General features: G+C 36.9%; 2 long non-coding RNA genes across 2 annotated transcripts in view, besides 1 other annotated feature; one reads left to right on the forward strand and one right to left on the reverse strand.

Moving 5' to 3' along the window:
* DSEL-AS1 (DSEL antisense RNA 1) overlaps positions 1–13,101 on the forward strand; it is a 383,074-nt gene that overhangs the window by 61,267 nt on the left and 308,706 nt on the right. The window lies entirely within an intron of this gene.
* Positions 4,618–5,179: an enhancer, noted in NCBI's record as "NANOG hESC enhancer chr18:65249667-65250228 (GRCh37/hg19 assembly coordinates)". NCBI's record gives its function as "activates a minimal SCP1, AML or CMV promoter by ChIP-STARR-seq in primed H9 embryonic stem cells {active_cell/tissue: H9 hESC(primed)}" and the evidence as "EXISTENCE:reporter gene assay evidence [ECO:0000049][PMID:30033119]".
* Positions 9,434–13,101, reverse strand: part of LOC105372174 (uncharacterized) — a 36,647-nt gene continuing 32,979 nt past the window's right edge. The window contains exon 3 of the long non-coding RNA XR_935590.3: positions 9,434–9,572. This is a non-coding gene — a long non-coding RNA (uncharacterized LOC105372174). The remainder of the gene's footprint in view (positions 9,573–13,101) is intronic.

Raw genomic sequence — 13,101 nt, forward strand, 5'->3', positions numbered from 1 at the left:
TGGTTAACTCAATTATAGTCTGTGTATTATAGGACAGGTGTTCTTGTGATTACTGGTACAAAGAAGATTATCACCTTCAAAAAAGTAAATTACTAAGATGGTACAGTCCCATGAACCTCTTCTGTAGTCCCACCTGCTCAGGAGGCTAAGGTGGGAGGATCCCCTGAACCCAGGAGTTCAAGACCACCCTTGGCCACACAGGGAGACCCTGTATCTAAAAAGAAAACAAAATTGAGAAGGTAAAATTTTTTTTATATACTTTTCAGTGAGATCTCATAGATCTAGTCTTACAAAGTTCTCACAACACAGTGGTTGTTGGATAATAAGTGTTTATCAGGCTGCGCAAATCACAAACCACAGTAATTTTATATACTGAAAAAAGATTATTGGAGAACAAAAATAGATCTAATAAAATTTTGTTTCATGAAACCCAATATATTTACTCACTCATCACTTTAAATAGTTCCTAAAAATTTTGAATGCAAAAAACTAATCATATTTGTATGAAGCCTAAATTACCCATAAAAGTTGAATTACTACAGTACATTTTAAAAAATTGTATACATTTTACAATAAATTTTATATTGAAAAAAGTTTTTCTTGGTCTTATAATTATTTTTTAGTAATTATTACCTTTAAAAATGCCATGGAAACAGAAACAGTGATTCTTGAAACATAATCTGCTTTTTATATATAATAATGAATATGGAGGTGGCTTTAAAGCCAGTTAAATTTGAAACATGCTTCACTTATGCAGATTAGCTCCTTCAATATACTTTCACTTTGGTCATGTTGCAACAGTACTGACATTTTGAAAATACTCAGAAACAGTTAAAATTTGATTGACCCCGCTAACTTTTCAAAAGCCTTTGACCAATAATCAGGTACTATACAATTTGTTTTGATCCCTAAATGGAATTAAATGGCACCAAAGGCAGATTACTCTCCTTTATGGAGTGTTAAAAAATGTATTAATATTTACAAGTATATATGTACACATTTACGTGTAAGTATGTGCATCTACTTATTTTACTATCTTAACTAATTACAAGATAAAATGAGCAAGAAGAATTTTAAAAATATCCTCATTAACAATATTTGTAACCGTAATTTTACATACATCAGTAACCATGATTTTAATTACATTTTTTGTGATATACCAGATGTTCAAACAGCACAATTTGTATTAATTTAGAACTTTGTATTGTAAGAAGTAAATTTTAAGTGCTTCTTTGACATCTTTAAGCCCCACTAGGCCCCAGAGGCCTTGCCATGAGTTTTCCTGCTCTCGTGAGACATGTCCTTACACAACAAGACAGACTCTCTACCCAGCTCAATCAACTGTATCTCACCTGGTCCTCAACAAAATGGGTTTCACTTCCTTGCCACCATATAAAATTATTTAAATAAACAAATTTCATTCTTCTAAGAGAATCAAGGGTCATTTCACCCTCTTGTTACTACAAAGCCTGCCTCCCATAGCCCTGATGATTCATTCTGCATCTGAATGAACTTCGTGGCTCTGCACGGTATATAGCATCCGTCTCCCATAGCCTGTTAGTATATGTCATTAATAAGACATCACCAGTGCCCTCTGACCACTGTTGGTGTCCTGTTTTGTCATCTTATGATATTTACCAATGTGGGATTCCTCCTTCACCAGTAGGGTGAATAGAAGGTGATCAGAACAGGCTGATAGTTGGGTCCCTAGATATTTTTGAAAATGTAGGCCTGAATAGAAGGCCACTTTATCTTCGCAAGGAAGTCAGCAAAGCAAATGTTTACAGGTAATTCTAATTTTTGTTTTCCCTTCTGTTTCTATTATGGGAGTGACATGTGAAATTGGTGGTCAAAGTTCTAAATTGCTATACTCTAAAACATGACCAAATGAAAATGATTGTTTTTTAATCTGGAAAAATTTAACATAGGTTGATACTAATTATCTATCACAACCATAAAAATCATCTCATTGAAGTACTCATTTACTATTTTAAATTTAAATTTTAGCCCAACAAACATAATGAGGAATTCTATGAGGCAATTTGGGTGAACCATTAAGTCCCGTATGATTGTATGTGATCACTTGATTTACGGGGTTGCTCGCTGCTGTGGTTTGAATGTTTGTCCTATCTGAAACTCAAGTTAAACCTTAATCTCCAGTATGGCAGTATTGAGAGGTGGGGCCCGTAAGAGGTGATTGGGTCATGAGGACTCTGCCCTCATGAATGGACTAATCCATTCATGGATTAACAGACTAATGGGTTAATGGATTAATGGATTATCATGGGAGTAGGACTGGTGTCTTTATAAGAAAAGTAAGAGAGGCCGGAGCTGGCAAGCTCAGCCCCCTCACTGTGTAATGACCTGTGCTGCCCTTGGGCCTTTGCAGAATCCCCGCCAGCAGGAAGGTTCTTACCTGATGCAGGCCCTGAATCTTGGGTTTTTCAGCCTCCCTAATTGTAAAAAATAAATTTGTTTTCTTTACAAATTATCCAGTTTTAAGTATTCTGTTATAAGCAACAGAAAATGGACTAAGACACGATGTCAGTTAAATTTTGGATGATGTAAAAAACAGTGATAAATTTATTTTAAAATAATTGATCGGGAGCCATTTTTCTTCTTATATTGCAGGTATTGGGGAAAACAAATAAATACATGTAGAATCTACTGTTAAGCCAGTGAATCTTGTAAACAAATGAATAAAAGAATCAAACAGGGTTTTTAAAAAATCAAGTTACCATTAACCAGACTGTGATGTACATAACAGGAAATCCACTCAGAGGTTAGGAAGACAGAAATAAATTGCAATTTTTAAATAGCCAGGCTGATACAATTCATTTCATACAGGTTCTCAAGGTAAAATACAGTATCAAGTAGGAGGAATTGGCAGCACTATTGATATAGGTAATTTATTCCAAATTCAGGTAGTAATCGGAATGGCCACCTGTGTGAGTTAATTGCGTTTATCTGAAGGAGAAACAAAATTTCTCACATCTCTCTAGAAAGCAGGTTGTTACAATGTGGAGCCAGGTGCCTAGGTTAAACTCCCTCAGAGACAGACAGATTGGGATGCTGTTTTCCTTGATGTTTCCATTTCAAAGAGATGGCTCCAAGGTCTTCAAGAAAAAGTATTACTGGGTTATAAGACTGCCAGAGGCTTATTTTGCTTTTTTAAAATGTTTATACACATCTCTACAGGAGAGAGAAAGAATTTACAATTACTAATTTTCAAAAGGAAATTAAGTAAAGAGAAAGATGGTGAGTCTCCTCATTTGACACCAGGGAAAATGCATTTAAAAATATATATATATATAAATTATATATTTATATATTTTTTGATATACAAATAATGTATATATAAATAATATATATAAATTATATATAAATGATTATATATATATGTAGTTATCCTTATTCAAGGGAACACAATGATATGGTTTCCTTTTATCATCTTAAATATATATAGGGGAATGCTTCATCTTTTTTTTTATAGCAGATGGCAAGGGAAGGCACATACCAAAGTGGTAGCCAGTCAGAGATCACCTCTCCTTTGCCATCTGGAGATTGTTATCTGCTTTTCAAAGATACTATTTTTACCAATGCCAAGCTTGGTAAAATTCTTAAGATGTAATTCAGTCTAATCATAGATATCGCTAGACAAGACTGGTCCTATGCAGTTTATAACAGAAATGTGGCCATTATTTTAGTAAGGATGGTTGAGATAACGCTGCATTATAAAATTAATGCTAGAGTTCTAGTAGATTAAAAACAATTTGTTTGTTTGTTTATTTGTTTTTCTAGTTCATGCTTCATTTTTCATTGACATTGGCTTAAGGGCCTCATTCTGCACTAGCACTCGGGAACTCAGGATCATGGAGACTTCCACAATATTGTAGCTGTACTATCTGGAATATGTGACCTCTTTTGTTTGTGGATCAGAAGAGATAAGCTTTTTCTTATACTATCTAGCTTAGAAGTGAAGTGAAGGCATCCCTTCTAACTGCAGTTCTTTGGCCAGCGCTCATCACACGGCCTCAGCTGAATCTTGCCTGGGAGATGTAATCCCGCAGACTAGATGTGGAAGTCTCTTTTTCCCTTCTCAGGAAAAGAGCCACTTTTCCCAAGGACAAACCTCCATCCCTGGGCAGCCTGTAGACAATGACTTGGGACAGCTTGATGGGAGGGAGGGTAAAAGATTCCAGCCTCTTAATTTAATGTCAACATTTCTGAAGAGCCCTTATAGCTCCAGAGCTCTTCACAGGATGGCAGAGGCTGTTATGTATCCTCTCTCTCTGCTCACTCACCACTTCGCCACAGGAATTGATCTGGACTGCATTTCCCAATAAATTCTTTATAAGCAAATCTTTAATCTAGAGTCTGGTTCCCAGAGATCTTGACCTGTGGGCCACCACCTATATCAAAATCACTGGATTGCTTGTTAAAAATGCAAATGACTTGTCTTTATTCCAGGACTATTGATTTAGAATATCTAGAAATGGAGGTTGGAAATCTGCATTATTAAAAAGCACCCCAGAAAATTATTTTTCTCATTAAAGTGACACTAACAATGACAGTAGTAATTACCGTGATTATTCACAAAATTGAATAGTTGAAGTAGTGGGGGAAGATGTTCAGAGAATTAAAAAACCTTATGCAGGCTTTTGTGTCAAAATCATTTATGCTAACATAGAAACATGTTTACAAATGAACTTCGTAAGGGATAGTCAAAGAAGCCACTGACAGCAACAAAGATTTGAGTCAACAGACCATGCCATGTCTGTTGTCAATTACAGAAGCCAAATTAACATATTTAACATATTTTTGATGTCTCAGATCCCTGCCGCCTAAAACTTCCTACCTTAGCCACTCCTTTTCTTTGAGCTTCTGGAATTGTAAACCTGAATTGCCAATTGCCATTGCTGAGAAGGCAAATGAGGCTTCAAAGCTATTAGGCCACTTTGAGACTGATACTATTGAAGTGGATATGTAACTGAAGTCTTCCTTTCACATTAGAGGTAAATTACTTTTTCCCTTCTCCTTGTTCCGATCTTGGTAGAAACTCCAGAAGTCCTCAACCTATCAAGAATTGAGCCATGAGACACTGCCTTGCAGGAAGCAAAAGGGAAAATGTGCGCCCAATATACATTTACCAGAATATCCTAAAATATTTTAAACCCAGTAGAAATGATAACGTAAGCTCTATGATCAAAAGACATGACTATGTATAAAGCCCCGTGTCGCTCAATCTGTTCACACACCATTGTGAACACTCATAACCCTGCCCAGCTGGGAACACCACAGTCATGTGGGTCCAGGAACCAAGGGCTGATTAAAAATGGTCCTACTGCATTAAACAAGGTCAAAAGACTGCACTGCACCGTAATGACTACTGTAAAACCAATAACCTGTACTTACTCAAAATTGCTTCTATTTTATTCATCATTGATTTTTACATTAATTTTAACTTTCTAAACTATTGCATTTAATTATTGCTTTCTTGATGATTCTGTTTCTGTCACCCCCTGAAATTTTGTGCCCAAGGTGAGTACCTCACTTGCCTTACTTGAATCTTAGCCCTGCCATGAGGGATCATTGCTTTTACATATGGGCACTCAATTATACCTATGAGTAGCTGCAGATTTCTGATGTTCGTCTTATTTAAAAGCCAGAGTGAGGCAGTAGAAAGAACATTTAATTAGAAGTGACAAAACTTGGGTAATAGTTCCATCTCTGGAGCTTCTTAGTGATGTGAACTTGGAAAACCAGACTCATTTATCTTTAGCTTTTATTTGGAAAATGGAAATAAATACAATGTAACATGTTTGTTAGCCTCAAAGTATCCTTGTGAGAATACAATGAGTTAATGCCTGTGAAAACACTCTGAAAAAGTAGAATCATATTTAATGCATATAAAAAATGACATTGAAACCGTGTTTGTTGCTATTTTTATAGCATAATCTTTGGAATGTTTTTGATGAGTATATGAGTGGAAGAAATGCATTCCAGTTAGATGACCCAGTTGTTGCTAATGAAAACATTTTTCTCCTCATCTCAATTATTACTCCCCCCTCCAAATCCATGTATTCCCAATTCTCCTAATGTCTTTGTACCATTGAAAGCTAGTGTTTGGGTGGCAGTACCAGAGCAGTGATTTTCAAGTGAGATTCCCTAACCAGCACATAAGTATCACCTGGATCTTGTTAGAAATGCAAATTTTCAGACAACATCCAATAAACTCTGGGGCTTGGGCCAACAAATGTGCATTTTAACAAGCCCTCCAGGTGACTTGGAAGCCCGCTAGTGTTGAGAGCCACTAGATCAAATGAAAGGAACGGAAGAGCGGAAGATCAGTCTGCCAAGCGATTTCTCCAGAACCAGAACTTTTATTTTGTTGGTAGAATTCTCATAAAATCACCTTTTGCCTTTACCATTTTATCATTAATTTCTAGGCCACATCTTTTTTCTTCTATGTTTTTTACTTACCGTGTAATTTAATGATCTTTCTCTCTCTCTTCCCCCCGCCCCCGTATAGAAATAGGTGTTACATAAGAAACACCTGGAGTGCTTGAGTGAAAATCATTATTACCAGCTCCTGCCTGGGATTATTAATTGGTGTGGAATCTTTAACAGAAACACCCAAACAAATGACAATGAAGCCGTTTCTAGACCACAATTTGAGTTGTGCAGTGATATGGTTTGGCTTTGTGTTCCCACCCAAATCTCATCTTGAATTGTAATCCCATAATCCCCACGTGTAGTGAGAGGGACCTAGTGGGAAGTAATTGAATCATGGGCGTGGTTTCCACCATGCTCTTCTCCTGATAGTGAGTGAGTTCTCATGAGATCTGATGGTTCTATAAGCATCTGGCATTTCCCTTGATGGCACTCATTCTCTCTCCTGCTGCCTTGTGAAGAGCTGCCTTCTGCCATGATTGTAAGTTTCCTGAGGCCTCTCCAGCCATGTGGAACTGTGAGTCAATTAAACCTCTTTTCTTTATAAATTACCCAGTCTCAGGTATTTCTTCATAGCAGTAGAAGAAAGGACTCATACATGCAGCTATTAGGGTAATGTTTCAAAAAGTATAGATACAGGTAAAACTTAAGTAGCTGTAATTCATCAATGCTTAATCAAACTCTAGTTTTTCTTAATGTGCTTGCTCCATAAGTATTTCAATTCTCAGGAACAAAATTGACAGGTTAAACTGAAGATTGAACATAAGCTACTATCTTTGCTTCCTTGTAAAACTTCACTTACATGAGAATAAGTGGATAACAGAGATGTACTTCCATAAAACAAAGTGTGATTTTGTGACATAATCGGCAATATATATTTGGTCTTCATCCTGGTTCCTAGCACAGAGCTCCTAACATCCTTGAAGTTTTCTGACTGATAGGGGTGTGAGGAAGGTATTTTAGTATTCCTAATAAGCCACATTTTTTCATCCCTATTTATGCTAATGAGGTGACTCTTGGTGGGCCCTTTAGACAGCTTCAAGATACAGGCTGGTTGACAGAGGAACAAATTATGAGATAAGAGGTTTGGAATTTTCAGCCCTATTTCCCTCTTTCCCCTCTCCTAACCTCTATGGGTGCAGAGGGGCTGGTGATTGAGTTAATCACAAATGACCAATGATTTAATCAATCGTGCCTACTTAATGAAGCCTCCATTAAAAACCCCTAAACAATGGGGTTCGGAAAGACTCAAGGTCGGTGAACACATTCATATACTCAGACTCTGGTGGTGCACTGCAATTCATGGGGACAGAGCAGGTGCTCCTATACTTGGGACCCTTCTGGACCTCACCGTATTTACCTCTTCGTCTGGCTGTTCATTTGTATTCTTTATAATAAATCTGTGACAGTAAATAGTGTTTTCTTGAGTTCTTGAGCCATTCTAGCAAATTATCAAAACCGAGCAAGAAGTCATGGGAACCTCTGACCTTGTAGCCAAGTGGGGCAGAAATGTGGGTAACCTGGGCATCCACCACTTGCAACTGGCCTCTGAAGTCAGGGAAGTCTGTGGTCTGAGATTTTAATCATGTGGAGCCCAGTGCTCACTCTGGGTAGTTAGTCAGAATTTAATTAAATTGTAGGACACCCAGTTGGTGTCAGAGAATTGATTGGTGTGAAGAAAAAAACTCCATACTCTTGGCGCCAGAATTGGTGTTATAAAAATACTTCAGAGAAGGAAAATGAAAAAAGGTGACTGAGTTTTGAAATATCAATTATATCTCTTCCTAACTGGAGCTTAGAACCATTGAGGGAGAGTGGCAGGATAGGGATTAGGTTCCTAACAGGAAAAGACACATTGGAGGAGAGGTTTTGGTAGTGCAAATACATGAGCTTGCTAACTTTGCTTTGCGTTGTGCTTAGCACCCAGATTGATGCCTTCCAGGGTGCAGGGCAGACCTAGCTCCACTACATTTAACAAGTCACCAAGGGAGCAGACAAGAGTTCAACATCTCTGTAGTCAGGGAGTGAAGGCTGAGCCAGCCATTCTCACCAGATAAGTCACATCCTATTTGAGTTGAGGTGTGAGGTTATCTCTAAGAAGGCTGTTGTAACTTGAATGAAGAGTGTTAATACCCTAATGGCAATAAGCCAACCTGAAGACCTAAAACCAGGGGTAAGCGGTCTGCTGAAAAAACACATTCCACAGCAAAATGTTTCAGCCTTTAACCAATGGATTTGGCTATTGATCTAAATGAAAATCATTCAGAAGATGACTTTGTTCCTCATGGGAGAAAATTGGTTCTGGGTCAAAATAGTCTTGCTTTTATCTTTCATTGGTTAGATCCATCACAAGCAATCTTTCTCAGATAATGGGTGGATAATTAGATTTTGCTCAGAGAAGGCTCTGAAATGGGTCAGGAGAGTAGTTTGAGTGCATACAATGCACATAAACTCCTAGGCTACTCTATTATGAGCCTGAAATTTTACTCACTGTTCTATTTCCAAGTTATGTTTAGCCATAATGCTAATATCATCAAAGCATCAAAGGCATTCCTTTAATAAAAAGCCAACAACATTGGGCCAAGTGCAGTGGCTAGTGCCTGTAATCCCAGTACTTCGGGAGGTCAAGGTGGAGGATCACTTGAGTCCAGGAGTTGCAGACCAGCCTAAGCAACCTAGTGGGACTCTGTCTCTACAAAAATAAAGATTTAAAAATAGCTCATTGTGGTGTCACATGCTTGTAGTCCCAATTACTTGGGAGACTGAGGCAGGAGGATTCCTTGGGCCTGAGAATTGAGGCTGCAGTGAGGCATGATTATCACTGCACTTCACCCTGGGCAAAAGAGCAAGACCCATCTCAAAACAACAACAACATTAAAATGCCTCATATCCCATATTTAAACATAATGCCCTCTGTTATCAAATTCTAAGGGAGTGATTAAGTCCAAAGACTAAATTTCTATGTACTAACTTCTTTTGCTTAAAGCAACATGGTGCTGAATCGTTCAGTGAAGGATGAATATATTGAGCCTTCCATCTTGTACATGCCAATAATTCTGGTGGTGTGCCACTGCAGGATGCAGTATGTTCCTTTCCAATTCTGTCTCCAGTGACATTACCTTGATAAAATCATCAAAAATGAGACTATTTACGGGATGGAAATTGTCAAATGCTATAAATTGGAGTTGTTTTATTTTTTATTCTTGAAAGTGAGATTAACAGCACACAATTAATTTATAAAACTCTACGTATAAAATTTCCTTTGCTGAAAAGTACTCCCTTTTTGTGGGGAGAGAATTGGCCGCGTAAAAATAGTCTATGCATTGCAGAGTACTATAAACATAGCCTGTTTTTAAAAATATTCCTTTTTACAGATATTTCTCGTTGCTACTAGCCACAAGTAAGGTAAATGACATGCAATTGTTCTCTTCCACGATAGGGTAGTGGGGAGAAAATATATGTTTAAAAGCAATAGCTGTAGCCAGAAAAAGTACAGCCTGCAAGCATTTCCACAGGCAGTGATGGAGAGTGAAGACAGTGAGCATGAATGTGGCCAAGGCTAAGATCTCATTCCAAGAAAACTCCATTTTTGCAAACTCCTGGCATTCAACTGTCTCCTCACCTTAAATTGGTCTTTTCTTTTATAACTTAATCTTTCTCATTTCCCACATGCCGACATGCTTTCTTGAAATCATGAGAGTCAATAATTATGACTTTATTTTTTTATTTTTGCTGCTTTATGAGATGTTTTCTGAACACAACAAGCTCAAACGTGAACATTGTTGTCTTTACAGAGCACTAACCAGCTAAACCTTACTTTCTCTACTAATACAATATGACAATTAAAAAATTAAATGATTAAGAATTTCCAGCATCCTACGAAAAATATCTAGTGCAATGATGATAGTATATATTCCACAGAATATTAATTTTGAGAAATATTAAAAGGAAGTGGAGATACTGAGTTAAATTAATTATTATAAAGAGTATTTTATATTGCAAAGAAGCCACAATGTATGTAACTTCGGAATATAAGTGATTGTAATTTGAAGACTTTATGAATTTCACCACCCTTTTTTATATTGTATAAATTAGAATTTTATCCTACCACAATCTGGCAAAAATGTTTCTGTGTCCCTTATGGTCTTCTTCTGTGCTGCAGAATATTATGATGCATTGAATTTATTGAAAAAATACATTTTAAATACCATGTAGGCAGATGGGATTGTCTATGGATCTGTGCCTTATTCTTAGATTAATGGTTGGTACGCCCTGGTGTAAAAGAGCATGTGCATGTATGTGTGCAGGGCTGGGGCATAGGATAGGTGTATGACGTTCGTGCCTTCATGTTACATATATGATTGGAAGTGGATCATGTCTTCATGAGCTGTTTGTGATAACAGTAGCCATGCAGCCATACATGGCAGCTCCTCTAAAGAAATTACTAGTGCTTATCACACTTGGTCTTGCCAAGAAAACTCCCCTCTGTGTTTTTATTTTTCTAACAAAGCTTTAAGCAGAAGTCCATTTTGAAAACATTATAAATTTGTCCTCCTTAAAGCAAAATGATAGTCCATAGAATTTCTTACCCATCGTCAAACTTTCCCACCAATCTTTGGCATCTCCTAGCTCCTTAAATACCTGGGGCTTCAGAGGTGTGATTTGTAATCTACAGATCTAGAGAAATCTCATTTTAAGAATGGGAGAAGGGAAACTCAATGAAGCAAAGAAATGAATAGAAAGTTTAAAAATATTTTTTCATTGCTAGTTTCTTTTTCCATTGCTATGGATTCTCATACATGGGGGTAAAGATGAGCTCTGACTCTGTTAATGACCAAGAAGGCCTTATCCTCTCACCTAGACTAAACTTGAGACAGCCTTCTTCTTGACTGATAATTTACTTTAGAAAACATGTAATTGTAAATCCTTTCTCTTCCTGTTTTTTAAAAGCTTCTTGCCAGTTTTGCAATCCAGGACTGGTCAAGAACCTGGGGGTCATCCTTTTGAAATAAAGTCATGTACCACATAATGCCACTTTGGTTAATGACAGATCACATTTATGACAGTGGTCCTCTAAGATTCTAAGGGACATGAAAAATTTCTATCACCTGGTGACATTGTACTTGTCATCATGTCATAGCACAATTTATTTCTTTATAAATTTAGTATAGCCTAAGTGTATAGTGTTTATAAAAGTCTACAATAGTATAATGTCCTGGGCCTTCACATTCACTCACCACTCACTCACTGACTCACCCTGAGCAACTTCCGGTCCTGCAAGCTCCGTTCATAAGAAGTATCCAATACCTGTGTACCATTTTTTATCCTTTATACCATATTTTTACTGTACATTTTCTATGTTTAGACATATTCAAATATACAAATACTTGCCATTGTGTTATAATTGCCTGCAGTATTCACTGCAGTAACATGGTGTATATGTTTGCAGCACGGGAGCAATAGGCTACACCATATAGCTTAGGTGTGTAGTAGGCTATACCATCAGTGTTTGTGTGAGTACACTCTATGATGTTTGCACAGAGACAAAATCACCTAATAATGCACTTCTCAGAATGTATCCCCATCATTAAGTGAGGCATGACTATAATTATAATTATAATTATAATAATTATTGGATAATTATCCAAGAAGATAGAGCCCCTATCTCCCAGTATTTGTGACAAGGTAGAAGCCTAACTTCAGAGGTCTCCTTGCTCTAAGTTGTAAAACTACCTATTGTCATGAAGTTATGAGAAAATTTACTTTTCCTTTGAGTAGAACCAATTAGAAAGCACAGTGGCCTAAGATACCTTTCTCACCCCAATTCTTAAAAACTCTCCTGCCCTTTGTTTTAGAGGAATTCAGTTTGACTTAGTTTTGGCCTCCCCTACTGCAAGAGCCTTAAATAAAGTCTTCCTTACCTCTTTAACTTTGTCTAGTGCAAATTTCAAGCTTGATTCTGCTACTTAACTTGAAATTCTTATAGCTCTATAAAATTAGGTCTATAAATTGAATGACTATAATAGTACCTAATTTCAGAATTATTCCGACAATAAAGTGGGATAATACATAAAATGACTTTAGCATGGCTCAGAGTAAGTACTAGCAATAATAGTAATAGTACTGAATAATAAAGTGAGTATAATTATAATTAAGCCCTATTATTACTAATAATTACTATTATTGTTGCAATATAATTATAAGAGAAGACAATAAATGAACATTTTTTTCTCTATCTTGAAATGGCCCTATGTTCTACTGTAATGATGCTATCATTACAAATTTCTCTCCTTTCATTGTAATGCAAACATCTGAGATTCATTATGCAATTAAGAAAATTCCTATTTAGAGACATTTAACTATCCTGTGAATTAATCTTTTCACCTTGTATGTTAGACTTTGCCCACACAAAGCTCCTTCACTGACAATTAGCACTTCTTCTGTTTAGACTACCATTGCTAGCTTGCCAACACCTCTCCAAAGGAGATTGAGGAAAGGGAAAGAGATAAAATCTAAAACTCCGGGTTGCCAGAATTACTTTCAAAGCACTGAAATGAAGAGATGCTTAGGAAGGGGGATGGTTGAGTCTTTTGTCTCTTGATACGTTGTCTGACTTTCTGCCCTGATAGCTCCTGACTAGTCTAGTAG

This window comes from Homo sapiens, chromosome 18 (genome assembly GCF_000001405.40).
Source record: "Homo sapiens chromosome 18, GRCh38.p14 Primary Assembly".
Classification (NCBI taxonomy): domain Eukaryota; kingdom Metazoa; phylum Chordata; class Mammalia; order Primates; family Hominidae; genus Homo; species Homo sapiens.